The sequence below is a fragment of the Homo sapiens genome, chromosome 10 (assembly GCF_000001405.40).
Source record: "Homo sapiens chromosome 10, GRCh38.p14 Primary Assembly".
NCBI classification, from domain to species: Eukaryota; Metazoa; Chordata; class Mammalia; order Primates; family Hominidae; genus Homo; species Homo sapiens.
The window spans coordinates 31975728-31996886 of record NC_000010.11 but is presented as its reverse complement, the minus strand read 5'-3'; the positions used below and the strand labels follow the sequence as shown (position 1 = coordinate 31996886).

General features: G+C 42.3%; 2 long non-coding RNA genes and 2 pseudogenes across 2 annotated transcripts in view; 2 read left to right on the top strand and 2 right to left on the bottom strand.

Moving 5' to 3' along the window:
• LOC107984219 (uncharacterized) overlaps nt 1-21159 on the bottom strand; it is a 97548-nt gene that overhangs the window by 23513 nt on the left and 52876 nt on the right. The gene's annotated exons all lie outside the window — the stretch shown is intronic.
• LOC105376485 (uncharacterized) lies at nt 292-16105 on the top strand. The gene is made up of 3 exons (XR_930806.3): nt 292-4609; nt 6263-6413; nt 15844-16105. It is a non-coding gene; the product is annotated as an uncharacterized LOC105376485 (long non-coding RNA).
• RN7SL825P (RNA, 7SL, cytoplasmic 825, pseudogene) lies at nt 4506-4800 on the top strand (annotated as a pseudogene).
• RPL34P19 (ribosomal protein L34 pseudogene 19) lies at nt 12332-12632 on the bottom strand (annotated as a pseudogene).

The following is a 21159-nucleotide window of genomic DNA, read 5'->3' as shown; positions in this document are numbered from 1 at the left end:
ACATAAGTAACATTTTCATGAAAAATAGTAACATACTCCACAATTAAAACATTTAAGAAGAAGAGTAGCATTGCTTTACCTTTTACAAATCACTTTAATATTGGGCTTAATGTAAGACAGCTGGATTCTCATATCTGCTTTGGCATTTAATCTGCTGCAATCTGCTAGTAGAAGTATATATATATTTTAAAAACCCAGCCTCATTAGGATATGTAATTGCAAAACAGAAACTCACAGAGCCCTGAAATGAATCTCAGAGACCCCAGGAATGTTCAGCCAAGGTTGTTTTTTTTTTTTTTCCTTGAGGCAGAGTCTCACTGTGTCATTCAGGCTGGAGTGCAGTGGCACAATCACGGTTCACTGCAGCCTTGACCTCCTGAGCTCAAGCGATCCTCCTGCCTCAGCCTCCCAAGTAGCTGGGACTACAGCCATGTGCCACCACGCCCAGCTAATTTTTGTATTTTTTGTAGAAAGAGGGTCTCTTGTGTTGCCCAGGCTGGTCTCAAGCTCCTGGGGTCAACAGATCCTCCCCTCTCAGCCTCTTCAAGTGTTGGGATTACAGGCGTGAGCTACTGTGCTTGGCCCTCACCCACATTTTAAGTACTACTGCTCTAGGCCAGTGAGACCTCCCGTGAAGAAGAGGTTGGAATCATCCTTTCCTGGAGCACAAGGCCACAAGGCCATCTGGGGAAGGGGTGGATGCTTGAACTTCCCACTATGCTAGGAGAGAAAGAGGAGGAAATGGATACTGTTAGGAAGAAGGGAAGATATTGACCGATAACCAGCCATGCCCCTTTCCAAACTTTTCTCTAGAACATACTCAGAGTAAGCTTTTTTGTTTTTAAATTTTCACTGTGACAAAATACACCTAACATATAATTTACCTTCCTAATCTTTTTTGTTTGTTCATTTGTTTGTTTTGAGACAGAGTCTTGCTCTGTCACCTAGGCTGGAGTGCAGTGGTGCAATCTCGGCTCACTGCAACCTCCGCCTCCCGGGTTCAAGCAATTCTCTTACCTCAGCCTTCCAAGTAGCTGGGACTACAGGCGCCTGCCACCATGCCCAGCTAATTTTTGTATTTTTAGTAGAGACGGGGTTTCACCATGTTGGCCAGGCTGGTCTCGAACTCCTGACCTCAGGTGATCCACCCACCTCGGCCTCCCAAAGTGCTGGGATTACAGGTGTGAGCCAGTGCGCGAAGCCTTCCTAGCCATTTTTAATGCACAGTTCAGTGGCATTAAGTGCATTTCATTATTGTGCTACCATCACCACCGTCCATCCAAGAATGTTTCCATTTTGCAAAACTGAAACTCTATACCCACTAAACAATAACTCCACAGCCCCTTCCAGCCCCGGTCTCTATGAGTTTGGCACGAAGTTCTACTTTCTGTCTCTGTGAGTCTGACTACTCAAAGTACCTCATGTAAGTGGAATCATACAGTATTTGTCTTTTTGTGACCGCCTTATTTCACTTAGCATAGTGTCCTCCAATTTCATATATGTCGTAGCACATATCAGAATTATTCTCTTATTCTTAAGGCTCAGTAGTATTCCACTGTGTGGAGAGACCATATTTTGTTTGTATATATATCTGTCAATGGACATTGGGTTGTTTACACCTTCTGGCTATTGTGAATAATGCCGCTATGAGTGCAAATCTCTATTCGAGTCCTCGCTTTCCATTCTTTTGGGTATATACACAGATGTGGAATTGCAGGATCATATGGTAGTTCTATTTTTGCTTTTTTGAGCAACTGCCATACTGTTTTCCACAGAGACTGCATCATTTCACATTCTTGCTGGCAGGGGATAAGGGTTCCAATTTCTCCACATTCTTGCTAACACTTTTTGTTTTTTTGATAGCAGCCATCCTAATAGGTGTGAGGTGGTTAGAGTAAGCGTAAGTTGATAATGTCATTTTCCTGGTAGAATTCTACCACGGCTTTTAGCCGCCTTGTAAAATTGAAGTTGATGATGATTAGGACTGGCAAGGCCCTATTGTTCTGACCCTGCCCTCCCCTCCACCCTCATCCCTTATTCTCTCCTTTGCTCACTGTCCTCCAGCACACAAACCTTTCTGTTTTTCGAACGTGCCAACAGGCTTCCATCTCACAGCCTTTGCACATCCTCTTCCCTCTGCCTGGAAACCTCCATTTACAGCTTCCCAAACACTTTCCCTTCCTCAATTCTCAGCTTCAATGCAGGGACTTCCCAAACATCCCCTGCCAATCACTATCACATCACCTTGCTTTCAACGTTTGACAAATATTTTCTTGAGCACACATTCTATGACAGGCCCTATGCTAGGTGCTGGGGATACAGCAGTGAACAAAGCAGGCTAAAATCCGTACTTCTATGCAGCTTACATTCCAGTGATGGTCTTCAGCGCATAATCACTACTGCAATTATCTTGTTCATTTTCCTAATATTTGTTGCACTGGCTGATCATTTCAGCAGTGTTTATAAAGCAAAAGAGTTGGAAATAGCCCAAAGGCAGAATACTAGAGGTTAGTTTTTAAAATTTATAGTTCACCCTTATACAAAGCCATAGTTATAACATAAAATGAAATATAAAATTATAGTTCATCCTTAATACAAAGCCAGAGTAATAATATAAAGCCTTATAATGTAAAGCCATACTTCTGTTTCATGTGCTGCCATGGAAAGGTGACCACGATATACTGGTATCAGACATAAGGATATATTCCTTCTCAGTCTGCTTAGCACCACCACCTCCTAGACCCTCAGCCTCTTGTTCCTGCTTAACACATAGTTCTACCACTTGAGCCCAGTTGCTCTGGGAGAGCAAAACTGTCACCTCTTGCTACCACTACAAAGCCAGGCCAACCAGATACCCAGAGTTTCTACCTACTCCTCCTACTTTTGGACTTGGATAAAACCACACAGCTGGGCATGGGATCTGACATCCTAAACATCTACCCAAGAGTATAGGTGATGCAACTCAGGAGCTTGAATGACTAACACTCCATGGGAAATTTTTGCTTTTCAAAATTATTGAGATCTTAAAAAAGATTCCTTTTCTTTTTTTTTTTTTTTAAGAGATGGGGGGTGTCTCACTATGTTGCCCAGGCTGGACTAGAACTCATGGGCAGAGAAGGGAAGATGGAGCCGCCATCTTGAACTTGTCTGTTCCCCTAGTTCCTGCTGGCATTCACCTGTGCAAGCTCCCAGCTTGCTTGTCTCTGCCTGCAGCTCAACCTTACAGGCTGCTCTTTGTTACAAAATGATTTGGGGCTGCTTTTCATTAAAAAGAAAAGCCTTACCGAGGACTCCCATACCCTTACTATCTGCCTAAGTGATTTCTTCTTAACTCCTATGTCACTTCCACCTTGGCCTCCTGAGTAACTAGCTGCATGCCACTAGGCCCAGCTTTAAAAAGCTTTTCTTGATGTGGTTTACATCTGTCCATGTTTATCATATTCAAAATTAAAGCTGGGAAAATTTAAAAGTATTAATTGATTTTTAAATAATAAGTCATTATTTGCTAACATAAGTACATATTTTATGTAAAATAAAATATATTTTTCCAAAACAAAATTAAGCAAAAAGAATAGTATTGTTTTATACTTTGGCAAATCTCTTTAATTTCTGGTTTAACAGAAAGCTCAATTCTCATCTGCTTTGGTATTGTCTGTTGCAGTATCTTGTTTTGGTTTAAGTATCCGAATAACTTAGCCTTATACCGATGTGTGGTTGGAAATGAGAAACATAGCTTTTTCAAATAACTGGATATTCTTCTTTGATATTACACCAAAACTTGACAGTAGTACTTTCTGAAAGGCTAGTTGCAATGTAGAATCTGGAACCAAATCAATGAACTCTATGTATTCCCTTATATTAAATTCCATTGTTCATTTGTACTCTTGTTGAATCTTTTACCCATGAATAATATTGATCTTGCAGATCCCCCTGAAAGGGTCTTACATCCTCCAAAGGTCCATGGACCATACTTTGACAAATGATGATTGATTGGTTTACTTGTTCATAGTTGGCTTCTTCCAACTCTACCCTCTAGAAGTAAGCTTTTAGAAGGAGCAGGAATCGTGTTTATTTGGTAACCCTTGAACTTATCATAAGATCTAGCTCACTGAGGGTACTCAATAATCATGAGTTCAATGAATGAACCTCTGTGATTCTCCAAGGGGTGTCCTGTGAAGTCATCTGTTATTTCATGGAGGTGGTTAATGGTTCTATGTGATGTTGATACTACATCAACCAATTTCTCCAGGTTTTAAAAATCAATGTCATATAGATAAATTCACTTAACACTAACTGGCTGCAAAATCATCAAATTTTGCCCTTCAGAAACAGATTGTGATTTTCAATGACCAATATTTATTTCAGTAATCATTCAATACAGTATTACAATAATCCAATGTCAATACATTTTATGAACTCTGCAGTATAAAATGCTATATGTTGGAAACAAGTTTATCTAACCAAAGATTTATGAAGCAGTTCTCTTTCTTTAAGGGTACAGTATTGCTGGGTGCAACGACGTGCCTGTAGTCCCAGCTACTTGGGAGGCTGAGGCCAGAGGATCACCTGAGCCCAGGAGTTCTGGACTGCAGAGAGCTGTGCCAATCAGGTATCTGCACTAAGTTCAGTATCAATATAGTGACCTCCTGGCAGTGGGGGACCACCAGGTTGCCACAGGAGGGGTGAATTGGCTCAGGTCTGAAATGGAAGAGATCAAAACTCCTGTGCTGATCAGTAGTGGGATTGCGCCTGTGAATAGCCACTGCACTCCAGCTTGGACAACATAGCAAGACTGCTTCAAAAAAAAAAAAAAATGGCTACAATATTATGGAGAAAGAAGAGTAAATGAGATTAGACTAAAAGAATGTTGTAATTTTTAAAAAGATGAAAACAAAAAATGAGAAAAACTTACATGGCATCTTTCAGGAAGATCCATAATACTCATGTATACATGCATGTGTATTCTAACCACTTCCAAAACAATCCAAAATAATCTTTGTAATAGAATTTGACTACATTATGTGATCTAGACCCTCGCTGCTCAAAGGGCTCTGAGCAGCACTGGTGTCACCTGGAAGTTAGAAGTGAATGAAGAGTCTCAGGCATCTCAGGCTCCACCAGACCTACGGTGGCAGATGACACTTTCCAAATATGGCCGCCACAATATGTTCCTCCCCAGATGCTCTTCTTTCACTGTGAAGTTGACAATCCCCTGTTAAATGATGAGGTCAACATCCCCTTAAACCTAGGCAGGCAGACCTTTATGACTGCCTTGCCCAATAGGGTATGGCACAAATGATGTTATGTGACTTCTGAGGCAAGGTCATAAAAATGCCATGCAACTGCCACCTTGCTCAGTTGGGATACTTGGTGGAACCTGGCACCACGTTGTAAAGGAGCCAAGCATCCCCATGGGGAGGATACCTGTGGGTTTAGTGGTCAAGAGCCCCACCTGGGGTCCCAGTCAACAACCAGCATCAACCACAATGAGAGTACATGAGCCTCCAGGTGATTTCAGTTCCCCGCCATCAAGTCACCTTCCGAATCAAACTTTCCCATTTAACCATGTTTGGGGACAAGACAACCCCACCAAACCCTGCCCAAATTCCAGATTTGTGAGCAAAATAAATGATTAATCCTTGAATGGCTGTTTTAAGGCACTTGTTTGGGAATATCTGCTATATAGCAACAGACATCCAGAACAGCTACTCTATCATGATTTGCATTTCATCAAGATCCTCAGTGACTCACATGCACATAAAAATGTGAGAAGTGTTGATTTTATTCACTTATTTTTTAGAGAAAGAGTCTTGCTCTGTTGCCTAGGCTGGAGTGCAGTGAAATCACTGTAACCTTGAACTCACTGTAACCTTAAACTCCTGGGCTCAAAGGATCCTCCTGCCTCTCAGCCTCCCAAGTAGCTGGGACTACAGGCATGTGCCACCATGGGTGGGTAATTTTTTTTTTCTGTATTTTTTTGTAGAGATGGGGTCTCACTATGTTGCCCAGGCTGAGCAACTCCTGGCCTCAAATGATCCTCTTGCCTTGGCCTCTGAAAGTACTGAGATTACAGATATGAGCCACTTGCCCCTGGCCAGTACTGATTTAAAGTAAAATTGTGTAACATTTAATTTTCCTACAGCTCTTAACAACATTGATGGCAAATTATGAAAGGCTGTATAATGAGTGAAAATCATATTTAAGGTAATTGTTTCCAGAAAGCTGCATTATAACTGCCTGTTAAATGTGCTGTGTTCTTCAGGTGTCAAGACTGGTCCAAATCTTGGGTCAGACTCACATTTGGAGAGTATCGTCTCCATGAGAGTCAGAAGAAAATGGGCAAAGTAATTGAGGAGGCGAGCTACAAGATTTCCGAAGCTGACACTCCTGAAATATAAAGATGAGGACTGAGGGTGGGTGACTAATATCTAGCAAACCTTGTATCAAAAGCAATCATCATTTTAATAACAGATGGCACAAAAAAATCTTTTGAAAACAAATTACGTCATGCTACCCAAGTTAAGGGTAGATGAATATGTGCAGGTGCCTGCTATTGTTAAGGCATAACAACAAAGCTACAATTCATATTGCTTTCCTGAGGTCATGCTTTAACAGTAAATAGCTAAAAGTCCACTGTCTCATACTGCAATATATAGGGTAGCGTTGGTACCCACTAGTTAGTATGTGTGTGGTTCATTAGCCTATACTGAAGGTCTTTGTCCATTTCAGTTTAGCATTTCCCTCATTGTATTCTAAATTCTAAATAAGTTCAAATCACAAAGATTAAAGAATAACAATCATCATGGCTGGGTGTGGTGGTTCACGCCTGTAATCCCAGCACTCTGGGAGGCCGAGGCGGGTGGATCACTTGAGGTCAGGAGTTTGAGACTAGCCCGGCCAACATGGTGAAACCCCATCTCTACTAAAAATACAAAAAAATTAGTCGAGTATGGTGGCGTGTGTCTGTAGTCCCAGCTACTCGGGAGGCTGAGGCAGGAGAATCGTTTGAACCAGGGAGGTGGAGGTCGCAGTGAGCTGAGATCACGCCACTGCACTCCAGCCTGGGCAACTCAGTGAGACTGCCTCTCAAAAAAACAACAACAAAAAAACCCAATCATCAGCTGTCACATCATGTTGAACAACTGGATATCTAGGAACATCTAAAATGGTCAATTTAAGTGAATTAATTTCAACAATTAGTTTTTAAGTTACGTAATGCATTTTTCTAGTTTCCAACCAGATATTTTGCAGCCCGGTCATTTAGCATTTCCTCTGAGCCATCTCAGGCTCACCTGGGTTTAGACTATTCCGGCAAAGAATGGCTCCATAGCTGCTACGGCTTGCTTTATTCATTTTCCAGTTTTTAAAAGTAACTTGTTAGTAAAAGTTTTTGGTTGTGTGCAACAGAAAAAGATTCTGGCTAACTTAAGCAGAAAAGGATTTATTGACAGGTTAAGAGGGGCTCATGAACACAGTGGGAGGACAATGACCAGGCTTGGGAAAGGGCAAGGACCAAGGAAGTCCCAGAGGATGGGACACTGTCAGCAGAGTCACATTACCAACCCCACCCACTCCCCACCCACAGTGCTGCCAGGATGCTAACAATGCCCTCCAAAATATCCACCATTCTTGTAGCACAGCCTCTGGGATCAAAGCCTTGTGGCTTCCGTAAGTGAGAGGTGGATATGAGATGTGGAAGCCAAAAATCGCCTTTCTGGCAGAGGGGAATGGATTATTCCACATAAGAAAACCAGGATGTTAGAAGGAAGTGGGCTGATGCTGGACGTGCAAAACCTAATATACGTCTGCTATAAATAATATGTATAAAGCACAAAAGCACAAAATAATGCATGCTTATTGTGGAAAATACATAGTATAGCGCCTTCCTGTATTTTTTTCTAAAATTGGGATATTGTACATATTCTTTTTATTTTATTTATTTATTTATTTTTGAGACAGGGTCTTATTCTGTTGCCCGGGCTGGAGTGCAGTGGTGCTATCTCGGCTCACTGCAACCTCCACCTCCCAGGGTCAAGCGATTCTCCTACCTCAGCCTCCTGAGTAGCTGGGATTACAGGTGCCCACCACCACACCCAGCTAATTTTTCTATTTTTAGTAGAGATGGGGTTTCACCATGTTGGCCAGGCTGGTCTCGAACTCCTGACCTCAGGTGATCCACCCACCTTGGCCTCCCAAAGTGTTGGGATTACAGGCGTGAGCCACCGTGCCTGGCCATATTCTTTTTTTTAAATTTAATTTAAAGTTCTGGGATACATGTGCAGGACATGCAGGTTTGTTACATAGGTAAACATGTGCCATGGTGGTTTGCTGCACCCATCCACCCATCACCTAGGTATTAAGCCCCACGTGCATCATTAGCTATTTATCCTGATGCTCTCCCTCCTCACCCCGCCAACAGGCCCCAGTGTGTGTTGTTCCCCCTGTGTCCATGTGTTCTCATTGTTCAACTCCCACTTATAAGTGAGAACATGCGGTGTTTGGTTTTCTGTTGCTGTGTTAGTTTGCTGAGGATAATGGCTTCCAGTTTCATCCATGTCCCTGCAAAGGACATGATCTCGTTCATTTTTATGGCTGTATAGTATTCCACGGTGTATATGTACCACGTTTTCTTTATCCAGTCTATCATTGATGGGTATTTGGGTTGATCCTATGTCTTTGCTATTGTGAATAGTGCTGCAATGAACATATGTGTACATGTATCTTTATAATAGAATGATTTATATACCTTTAGGTATATGCCCAGTAATAGGATTGTTGGGTCAAATAGTATTTCTGGTTCTAGGTCTTTGAGGAATTGCCACAGTCTTCCAAAATGGTTGAACTAATTTACATTCCCACCAACAATGTAAAAGCATTCCTATTTCTCCACAGCCTCACCAGCATCTGTTGTTTCTTGACTCACATCTGACTGATGTGAGATGCTATCTTATTGTGGTTTTGATTTGCATTTCTCTAATGATCAGTGATATTGAGCTTTTTTTCATATGTTTGTTGGCCACATAAATGTCTTCTTTTGAGAAGTGTCTGTTCATGTCCTTTGACCACTTTTTAATGGGGTCGTTTGGTTTGGTTTTTACTTGTACATTTATTTAAGTTCCTTATAGATTCTGGATATTAGACCTTTGTCAGTTGGACAGATTGCAAAATTTTTCTCCCATTCCTTAGGATGTTTATTCACTCTGATGGTAGTTTCTTTTGCTGTGCAGAAGCCCGCTAGTTTAATTAGATCCCATTTGTCAATTTTTGCTTTTGTTTCAATTGCTTTTGATGTTTTTGTCATGAATCTTTGCCTGTGCCTATGTCCTGAATGGTATTGCCTAGATTTTATTTTAGGGTTTTTATAGTTTTGGGTTTTATATTTAAGTCTTTAATCCATCTTGAGTTCATTTGTGTATAAGGTGTAGGAAAGGGGTCCAGTGTCAATTTTCTGCATATGGCTAGCCAGTTTTCCCAGCATCATTTATTAAATAGGGAATCCTTTCCTCACTGCTTGTTTTTATCAGGTTGGTTGAAGATCAGATGGTTGCAGATTCTGTTCCATTGGTCTATGTGTCTGTTTTTGTACCAGTACCATGCTGTTTTGGTTACAGTAGCCTTGTAGTATAGTTTGAAGTCAGGTAGCATGATGTCTCCACCTTTGTTCTTTTTGCTTAGGATTATCTTGGCTATACAGGCTCTTTTTTGGTTTCATATGAAATTTAAAGTCTTTTTTTCTAATTCTGTGAAGAATATTAATGGTAGTTTGATGGGAATAGCATTGAACCTATAGATTACTTTGGGCAGTATGGCCATTTTCACCATATTGATTCTTCTTATCCATGAGCATGGAATGTTTTTCCATTTGTTTGTTTCCTTGAGCAGTGGTTTGTAGTTCTCCTGGAAGAGGTCCTTCACTTCTCTTGTTTTGTACATATTCTTTGTAACCACCTTTTAAAATGTTATTTTATTTTTTTTGAGATGGAGTCTTGCTCTATTGCCCAGGCTGGAGTGTAGCCATGTGATCAAGGCTCACTGCATCCTCTACCTCCCCAGCTCAAGCAATCCTCTGCTTCAGAGTAGCTGGGACTACAGGCATGTGCCATCATGCCTGGCTAATTAAAAAAAAAATTATTTTTGGAGAGATAGGGGGTCTCCCTATGTTGCCCAGGCTGGTCTTAAAACTCATGGATTCGAGCAATCCTCCCACCTTGGCCTCCCAAAGTGCTGGGAATACAGGCATGAGCCACTGTGCCCAGGCTATAATCAATTTTTTTTCACCTAACAATATATTGTGATCATTTTCCATATCATTAACTATTCATCTGCAACATGATTTTTAGTGGTGGTATGGAATTTTTTCTCTGTATTTATTTTAAATCACTTAGGTACTTTCTATTTTACTTTTTATCACTGTAAATACTGCTGGGATGAACATATACTTTTTTTTTTCTTTTGCTTAAGTATATTGAAATCTTACCATGCATCAGGCACTACACTAAAGTGTTTTCTACATTATCTCATTTACTTCTCACAATAGCCCTGTAAGGTAAATGCTATTATCATGTCCATGTTACAGATGAGGAGCGTGCTGCATGGAGGCTGGGAACAATTCGCCTAAGATCATGCAGTGCTGATGCCCCTAATTCACCTGAGGGTCACACTGCAAGTAGATGGCAGAACCCGCTTTAGTGTGAACTCAGACTTGTCTAACTGGGGAGCTCGGCTCTGAGCATCTTAACTTCCTTCCCAAGTAGATATTATTGAGTAATCCATGAATATTTCCTTACAATAAGTCAGAAGTGGAATTGAGGGAGTAAAAGCATTTAATACATGCTGTCAACCTGCCCTCCAGAAAGTTTGCACCAATTTACACTGCCCCCAGAAATAGAGTAAAGTACCTATTTTTGCCTGGGCAAGGTGGCTCATGTCTATAATCCCAGCACTTTGGGAGGGTGAAGCTGGAGGATCGCTTGAGCCCAGGAAGTTTGAGATTAGCCTGGGCAATATGGCAAAAACCCGTTTCTACAAAAACTAAAAAATGAGCTGGGCATGCTGGTATGCACCTGTAGTCCCAGCTACTTGGGAGGAGGAGGTGGGGGGATTGCTTGAGCCTGGGACGTCAAGTCTACAGTGAGCCACGATCACGCCACTGCACTCAGCCTGGGTGACAAAGCAAGACCCTGTCTCAAACAAAAATTCAAAAAAAAAAAAAAAAGTGCCTATACTCTTGGCCCATACCTGCTAGGGATTATCTTCATCAGAATCTTTGCCAGTTTAGCTGGTGAAAAAAGCTATCATGGTTTTTAGTTTTCCCATATTTTGTATTATAGTATAATGCTGGCTACCTTTTATGATGGTTTACTGTGTGTTAGGAGAATGTAAACCCTGAGAGGTTTGAGACTGCTGTCTGTTTTGTTCACTGCAGTACCCCCGGCACCTGGCAGAGTATCTGGTACACAGTAGCCACTCAATAAAAATTTGATAAATAATTGAATAAGTGAGTGTGCTGGTCATTGAGGTCAGCACTTTACACAGATAATGTCATTAGTCTTCACAGCACTCCAAGGCCTTAGCTAGTATTCATACCATGTGCGCAGTCCCCTCTGACCCAATGGGCACCCTGAGGGCCTCAATTTGACCCTCAGGTTCAGCTGCTCCAAAGGAGGATTGCCCATCTCCCTTGATTTCCCTATAATCCCCCAAAATGAATTATTTTCAATTTTTAATTTTTTAAATTTTTTGTAGAGATGGAGTCTCACTATGTTGCCCAGGCTGGTCTGAAATTACTGATTCAAGCGATCCTTTCCCCTTGGCCTCCCAAAGTGCTGAGATTACAGCGATGCATCTGGCCAAAATGTACTCTTTGTACAACACATAATCTATATTTCAAGTCAGATCACCCCATTATATATCTACATTTGGTGAAAATATGCCCATCCATTTCCCTATAATGTAATGGCAGAAACACAATTGTTTTATAAGGCTTTTGATTTAATTATTCAAAAAAGCTTCAATTTAAAATTTAGCTTTGTGGGCCAGGCGCGGTGGCTCACACCTGTAATTTCAGCACTTTGAGAGGCAGAGGTGGGTGGATCACGAGGTCAGGAGATCGAGACCATTCTGGCTAACACGGTGAAACCCCATCTCTACTAAAAATACAAAAAATTAGCTGGGCGTGGTGGCACATGCCTGTAATCCCAGCTACTCGGGAGGCTGAGGCAGGAGAATCGCTTGAATCTGGTAGGCAGAGGTTACAGTAAGCCAAGATCGTGCCACTGCACTCCAGCCTGGGCAACAGAGCGAGACTCTGTCTCAAAAAAAAAATGTAGCTCTGTGACTCTGCCCAAGCCTTCAATGCTTTCACAGTGATTTTCTGCTCCTCACTAAGAAAAGCACACTGATCTTGTCACAGATATATTTAGTGCACATCGAAGCACCACGGGCCCTGCTAACATGCTTTTGTTTGTTTTAGACAGCATGTTAAGAATTTTAGGTCTCATGGCATAAACCTCTCCTGGTCGGCCTGAGCACATCCCATACCCAGATTTTGGTGCTGTCTCACTCCTCTTGGTATAAAGCTAAACAATTCCATTACCAGAGGCTCAGGCCAGCCTGGTCTTTTTTGTTTTTGTTTTGTTTTGTTTTGTTTTGTTTGAGACAGGTTCTTGCTCTGTGGCCCAGGCTGGAGTGCAGTGGCACGATCTCAGCTTGCTGCATCTACCTTCCAGGCTCAAGTGATCCTCTCGCCTCCACCTCTTAAGTAGCTGAGACTTCAGGTGATGCCACCACATCCGGCTAATTTTTTGATTTTTTGTAGAGACGAGGTCTCACTATGTTGCTCAGCCTGGTCTTGAATTCTTGGGCTCAAGTGATTGATCTTCCCACCTCGGCCTCCCAAAGTGCTGGGATTACAGGTGTGAGCCACCTCACATGGCCTACCCTAGTCTTATTGGCAGCTATATCGTAGGATAGCCTACAAGGGCATATCAAATGCTGGACCATTTTGAGTGCTTCTAGAAACGGAAAAAGAATCAGAAAACTAATTATATTTATAGAGCTTGGAAAGAGCTCTATTAAAAACATTAACCATAATCCTTTTTTATATATTTTGCAAATATCTTCCATTATTTTCATTTGCTTTTTAATTCTATTTATGGTGTTTTGTTTTAACTTGCAGATGTTTTACCTTTTCTGGTAGTAAAATCTATCAGTTGCTCCTTTATGGCTTCTTTGCTATTGTACATAGAAGGCTTTTCTACCTTAAATTGACTAATAACCCCACATAGTAACTAACCATTTCTCTGTGGAATTCCCTGGAGTCAGAATACAAGCCGTGGCTTTCCAAAGTAAAATCAAGGTGGCGGTGCACAGGACTCCATTTTCACATAAAAGCACCAAATGAGCTTTGCCACTGCTCCAAGGTGATCTCAACCGCCCAGGCCTGGGGTGCCAAGGTGCTTGACTCTGGGTGAGGATATGGGAGTATCAGTTCCATTTCTTCTCCAGGTCCTACAGGCTGGTGCTATACTCTCTGCAAAGCATCCACCACAAATACTATTGCAGACCCTTGGGGGTAAAACGCTGGGTTTTACCTAAACCTATAGGTAATAAGGATGTATGTTTGTGGTAATTAACATGTGTATATTCATTCATACAATTTTCCTCATAAGGCTTCAAAGGACTGGACAACAAAAACTAAATAGCTTCAAAACAGTCTCCTACGGTAGTAGAAAATTAGATAAGGATGGAAAAGAACATTAACAAACTAAACCAAATGTCATTGTAGGTCAAAAACCAGAATTTTCTATGTATATGAGCGAGAATTAGTGAAGACGAAGGAATTTACAACATGCAAATGAGTTAACTGTTAATGAGTAGTAATGAATTCTAAGTATTTATTGAATTCCAATGAATTCCAAGTAAAGGGCCCTGCTTTCAGTCCCTTGTGAGAAAACATGGAGCCTACAAGTGGGAGGATGGCTTTTTTTTTTTTTTTTTTTTGAGATGGAGTCTCGCTCTGTTGCCCAGGCTGGAGTGCAGTGGCCTGATCTCGGCTCACTGCAAGCTCCACCTCCCGGGTTCCCGCCATTCTCCTGCCTCAGCCTCCCGAGTAGCTGGGACTACAGGTGCCTGCCACCACGCCCGGCTAATTTTTTGTATTTTTAGTAGAGACGGGGTTTCACCATGTTAGCCAGGATGGTCTCGATCTCCTGACCTCGTGATCCACCCACCTCGGCCTCCCAAAGTGCTGGGATTACAGGCGTAAGCCACCGCGCCTGGCCGAGGATGGCATTTTTAAAGGCCTTTATTTTGATTCTACATTGAGCTCAGGAATGGTCTGGATACAGTTAAATCTTACAGAAGTAACAGTGAATGTAATATTGTTCCCTGTGCTACATAGTTATCAAAAGCACCTTCAGAACTTATTGCAGCCTCCCTCTGTCATATTAGAAGAAGATATAAAGTTACAACGGCAGCATGAGGGTGTGTGATGACAAGGTGGAATGGTAATTAGTTGCTAATTAGAACTTTCTGAAACATTAGGGTAATCATCATAGGAAAATCCCACTCAATGTTGTATGTAAGTTAAAAATGCCCCAGGGTAGCTATTAATTCCTGAAAATAGCAGCAGGTATGAGCACTTCAGCTGAAGTTAATCAACATTTCTATTACCTACTCGGTTTCTAGAGGTTACAATTTTATATTTTTCATGGTGGAACATCAGTCTGGTATTTATACCCATATTATGTGATTTATAAATTTAAAAACATCTCATTTTATTGTAAAGCTGCTGTCAAGGAGAAAACAGGTTTTAAATAAAATTTGCTTTAATAAACTTTTTTTTTTTTTTTTGAGACAGAGTCTCACTCTGTCGCCCAGGCTGGAGTGCAGTGGCGCGATCTCGGCTCACTGCAAGCTCCGCCTCCTGGGTTCACGCCATTCTCCTGCCTCAGTCTGCCGAGTAGCTGGGACCACAGGCGCCAGCTACCACACCCGGTTAATTTTTTGTATTTTTAGTAGAGATGGGGTTTCACCATGTTAGCCAGGATGGTCTCGATCTCCTGACTTTGTGATCCGCCTGCCTCAGCCTCCCAAAGTGCTAGGATTACAGGCGTGAGTCACCGCGCCCGGCGACATTTTTTTTTTTCATATTGGATGTAGTCCACTTTGTTTTTCCCTTGGAGATATTTTCCTTTTCATCAAGAAAGGTACTTAGGTAACCCACACACATGAAGGCATAAACAGAGCTCAGAGACAAGTCATATGGTCCTTACATGAACCTTTACTTCGTGTTGATACATTTCAGATCTTTAAACCATTAGAGGCCAGGCGTGGTGTCTTACACCTGTAATCCCAGCACTTCGGAAGGCTGAGGCAGGAGGATGGCTTGAGGCCAGGAGTTTGAGATGAGCCTGGGCAAAAAGTAGTGAGACCCTGTCTCTACGAAAAATTTTAAAATTAGCTCAGTGTGGTGGCACACACCTGTTGTCCCAGCTACTCAGGAGGCTGAGGCAGGAGGATCGCTCGAGCCCAGGAGTTCAAGGCTGCAGTGAGCTATGATCGGGCTACTGCCCTTCAGCCTAGGTGACAGGGTAAGACCCTGTCTCTTATTTTTAAAAATGTATATGATCTCTTAGTTTTTGGGTCAGGACTCTGGGAACAGCTTTCCCAGGTGTCTCAGGCTCTAGGTCTCTCATGAGCCTGCAATGAAGCTGTCAGCCAGGTCTGCAGTCTCATCTGAAGACTACACTGGGGGAGGGTCCACTCCTAAGCTCACATACCTGGTTATTTTCAGTCTCAGTAAATACACTTCCAAGCTCACTTACATGTGCCTCTCCACAGGACTCACTAACAAGGTGGCTGGCTCTCCCCAGAGTGAATGATTCCAGAGAAGGCCAGAAAGAGTCACTGCATCTAAAACGGAACCTGCAGTATTTTGTAACCTCATCTCAAAAGTGACAAACCATCACTTCTGTCATAGTCTTGTCTTTAGAAGTCAGTCAATTCAACCCACGTAGAAAAAGGGGATTGCACAGCAATCCCATTACTGGTTATATACCCAGACAAATATAAATCATTCTACCATAAAGACACACGCTTGTGATTGTGAATGTTCACTGCAGCAAAGACACAGAATCAACCTAAAGGCCCAACAATGACAAATTGGATAAAGAAAATGTGCTACATATACAACGTGGAATACTACGCAGCCATAAAAAAGGAGATCATGTCATTTTTGCAGGAACATCGATGGAGCTGGAGGCTATTACCATTAGTAAACTAACTCAGGAACAGAAAACCAAATACTGCATGTTCTCACTTATAAGTGGGAGCTAAATGGTAAGAGTGATGAAGGCAAAGAAGGAAACAACAGACACTGGGGTCTACTTGGGGAGGGAGGGTGGGAGGAGGGAGGAGCAGGAAAGACAACTACTGGGTACTGGGCTTAACACCTAGTGATGAAATAATATACACAACAAACCCCTGTGACATGTTTTTACCTATGTAACAAACCTGTGTATCTACCCCCAAACCTAAAATAAAAGTTAAAAAAAGGAGGGGATTATACAAAGGTGTTAATACAAGGAGCCAGGGATGCTAGGGGGTCATCTTAGAGGCTGCCTACCACAACTGGTAACTGGTATTTTAAAAATTTTATCTACTGATGTATCAATCTATCTATCTACCTATCTATCATCTATCTATCTGTCTCTCTGTCATCTATCTAGTCTCTGTCTGCCTGTCCTTCCTATCTATCTATCTATCTATCTATCTATCTATCTATCTATCTATCTATCTATCTATCAGTCTTGCTCTGTTGCCTAGGCTCTAGAGAGCAGTGGTGTGGTCACAACTCACTGCAGCCTCGACCTCCCAGGCTGAAGTGATCCTCCCACTTCAGCCTCCCACCAAAGTAGCTGGGACTACAGGTCTGCATTACCATACCTGGCTGGGCTTTTGTTTGTTTGTTTTGTTTTGTTTGTAGAGACCCTGTCTCTACTCACTGTGTTGCCTATGATGGCCTCAAACTCCTGGTCTCAAGTGAGACTCTTGCCTCTGCTTCCCAAAGTGCTGGGATTACAGGTGTGAGCTACCACACCCAACCTTTTAAGTTAGTTTTAATTTTTGTCATTTGGAACAAAAGTGGTCCTGACTAATATATCCAGATGTCATGAATCTAGCCCCAAATAGTCTAGCTTCCCTTAATAAAGCCATCATAACAATGCCTTTTATAAAAGTATCTAAATATGTTGAGTACATTCATATTTTTCAGCCTTATTAGTTTAACACTTAGAAAACTCACACCCTATTGTGTGAACTACTACAGAAAATACTTTCTTGTTCCATTTAAGTTCCCCAAGAGCAAAGAGAAATGCCTTAAGTATTATAATGCTTCTCAACATGTCACATAGTATCTGGTCACACAGTGGATTCTCAACAAAGGCATTTTTTTTTTTTTTTTAAAGATAGGGTCTCACTCTGTAGCCCAGGCTGAAGTGCAGTGGTGCAATTTTGGGAGGGAGGTGGGGGGCAGCCCCCGCCTGGCAGGAGGGAGGTGGGGGGCAGCCCCCGCCCGGCCAGCCGCCCCGTCCTGGAGGGAGGTGGGGGGCGCCTCCGCCCGGCCACTGCCCCGTCTGCGAGGTGGGGGGCGCCTCTGCCCGGCCGCTCCGTCTGGGAAGTGAGGAGCCCCTCTGCCCGGCCGCCACCCTGTCTGGGAGGTGTACCCAACAGCTCATTGAGAACGGGCCATGATGATGATGGCGGTTTTGTCGAATAGAAAAGGGGGAAATGTGGGGAAAAGAGAGAGATCAGATTGTTACTGTGTCTGTGTAGAAAGAAGTAGACATGGGAGACTCCATTTTGTTCTGTACTAAGAAAAATTCTTCTGCCTTGGGATACTGTTAATCTATAACCTTACCCCCAACCTCGTGCTCTCTGAAACATGTGCTGTGTCCACTCAGGGTTAAATGGATTAAGGGCGGTGCAAGATGTACTTTGTTAAACAGATGCTTGAAGGCAGCAGGCTCCTTAAGAGTCATCACCACTCCCTAATCTCAAGTACCCAGGGACGCAAACACTGCGGAAGGCCGCAGGGTCCTCTGCCTAGGAAAACCAGAGACCCTTGTTCACATGTTTATCTGCTGACCTTCCCTCCACTATTGTCCTATGACCCTGCCAAATCCCCCTCTCCGAGAAACACCCAAGAATGATCAATAAATACTAAAAAATAAAAAAATAAAAAAATAAAAAAATAAAGATAGGGTCTCACTCTGTAGCCCAGGCTGAAGTGCAGTGGTACAACTTTGGTTCACTGCAGCCTTGACCTTCCAGGGCTCAGGCAATCTTCCCACCTTAGCCTCCCAAGTAGCTAAGGCAACAGGCACATTCTACCATGCCCGGCTAATTTTTGTATTTTTGCTGAGATGGGGTTTTGCCATGTTGCCCAGGCTGGTCTTGAACTCCTAGGCTTAAACGATCCTCTCACCTCAGCCTCCCAAAGTGCTGGGACTACTGGTGTGAGCCACCCCGCCTGGCCTATGGATCTTCTAAGTATAAGTTAGATGATTTTTCCCTAAATTCAGTATCTTCTTTTTGCTGATGTGTGCAATATTTTCTGCCTATTCACATAGCCTCACACTAACTTTAGGTTATTCTCATATAGTGGGGATTTTCATGATCAGAAGAACTTAATGTCACTGTACCTACCCACCTTCAATAATTCATAAAAATAGTAAACAAGGATACTCATAGGGGAATGCCAATGTTTACACTCCTTCCTCCAAGAAGTGCCTTTTCCTGAACCATTGTTTCTTGTCTCTAAGCAACTTCCTCATGCATTGCACCAGTCTCCATCATACCATGATGATTCAATTTTTAAAACAGTCTTTTGTGTGGAGCTTTGTGAAAGGCTTTTTGCAAATCTAAATAGATGCCATTCATGAGCTTTTGTCCCTATGCATATGTGCCTCCTAAAAGAGCTTTAATAGGTGGATGATGCCAATTTCCTCTCATTGAAACCATACGTTCTCCTCCAGCTCCTTCCTTGACTCTGGCAGTCATATTGGCATGCAATTATCTTTTGGAGGAGTAGGGCTCACAGCCCTTCCCTGTTGATCTGCTTTGATTGGGTCTTTAATTGGGTCTAAATTGGGTGAGATATTGTAGAAGAATGCAGGGTTAAGATCGCCAAAATCTAACTACCCTAAAAGAGACTAATCACTATGGTTAAGATAGCATGCTGAGATCAGAAACAGGGAAATATGGACGTATGTGTGGTAAATATGGGCAGAGAAAAGGAAGTAAGGTTAGAAATACAGGAAGTTGGTGGTTGTCAGTCAAGGGTCAGGAACGTTTTAGGGTCATGCCCTTTAAGAATCTGACACTGTTCTCCATTTCCCTTTTCTTTAAATTCTCTCCTCCTTCGATTCCCTCAATGCTGTGCTCTCAACCTAGCTTGGTAGATGTTCCTGCTCAGACTCCTTTCCTGGAAGCTCTTCTTCCTGTCTCTTTAATGTGGTTTTTTTCCAGGTTCCATCCTTGGCTTTATCTTGTCTCCCTCTATAGGTTCTCCACTGTCAATTTCATACATTCCTATGGATTTAGGTAAACATAGATTAATAGAATAAAAATGGGAATTTGAGCTTTAGGTAAGTCCATTCATCTGCCTAGTGTAGATTTCCACACTGATATCCCAGACACTCCAATCTTAACATGTCCAAAAATCAAAGGCATCATCTTTATATAAGCTAAGGACTTCTTCATTTTATGTGACAAAAAACCCTTATTTCATGGGCTCTAAGGAGAAGCCAAATAGCACAGGGATAGAGCTAGATTCAGAAACAACTCGAACCAAGACCTGGAAATTGCAATGATTTATTTCTCTTTTTTTTTTTTTTTTTTTTTTTTTTGAGACAGAGTTGCTCTGTCATCCAGACTGGAGTGCAGTGGCATGATCTTGGCTCACTGCAACCTCCACCTCCTGGGTTCAAGGAATTCTCATGCCTCAGCCTCCTGAGTAGCTGGGACTACAGGAGGGCGCCCCCACACCTGGCTAATTTTTGTATTTTTAGTAGAAAAGGGGTTTTGCCGTGTTGGCCAGGCTGGTCTCAAACTCCTGACCACAAGCGACCCGCCCACCTCGAACTCCCAAGGTGCTGGGATTACCAGTGTGCACTGCCACGCCGGGCCCATTTCTCCAAATTATACATCAACTTTCCTCTGAATGTCTGTTTCTTTCTCCCTTTGTTGCAGATTGATGATTTCTGCTGCTCGGCCTATGTGGTGGAAAACACAAAGATCTCCATGTTTCTGCTTTAGTCACCCAGAGTGAGACTAGTTTGATTCTGGGTCCTAAAACTCACTGGCCCAGCCATGTTCAAGGTGTCCAGCCATGGATCAATCAACTTTGGCCTCAGATACAGTGTATGCAACTTGAAGTTGCTTCATAGCTCACTGATGCTTTGCCTTCAACCTTTTTTCACTGTTTCATTTTAGATAGTTTTTATTGCTACATATTCAACTATACTACTCATTTCTTCTGCATTGTCTAAACTCCTGTCAATCTCAATCCCATCCAGTGTATTTTTCTCTCCCTTTTTTTTTTTTTTTTAGAGACAAGGTCTCACTCTGTGGTCCAGGCTAGGGTGCAGTGGTACTTTCATAGCTTACTGCAGCCTCAAACTTCTGAGCTCAAGCAATCCTCCTGCTTCAGGCGTCTGACTAGCTGGGACTACAGGTGGGTGACACCACACCTGGCTAGTTCCTCGTATTTTTTGTGAAAACGGCATCTCACTATGTTGCCCAGGTTGGCCTTGAACTCCTGGCCTCAAGTGATTCTCCAGCCTTGGCCTCCCAATTTGCTGGGATTACAGTTATGATGCCTGGTCCCAGCATATTTTTCACTGTAGATATTGCATTTTTCATATCTAGATGTTCAATTTGCTCAGTCTTTTCTGTAGACTTTAAACATGGAATATAGTTATAATAACTGTTTTTAATGACTTTGTCTATTAATTCTTTGACTAATGTGCATGCATTTCTGGGTTGTTTCTATACATTGATTTTTCTCATTATTGATTGTATTTTCTTTGTTTGCAGCCTAGAAATTTTTTATTGGATGCTAGACACTGTGAATTTCACATCCTTAAGTGTTAGTCT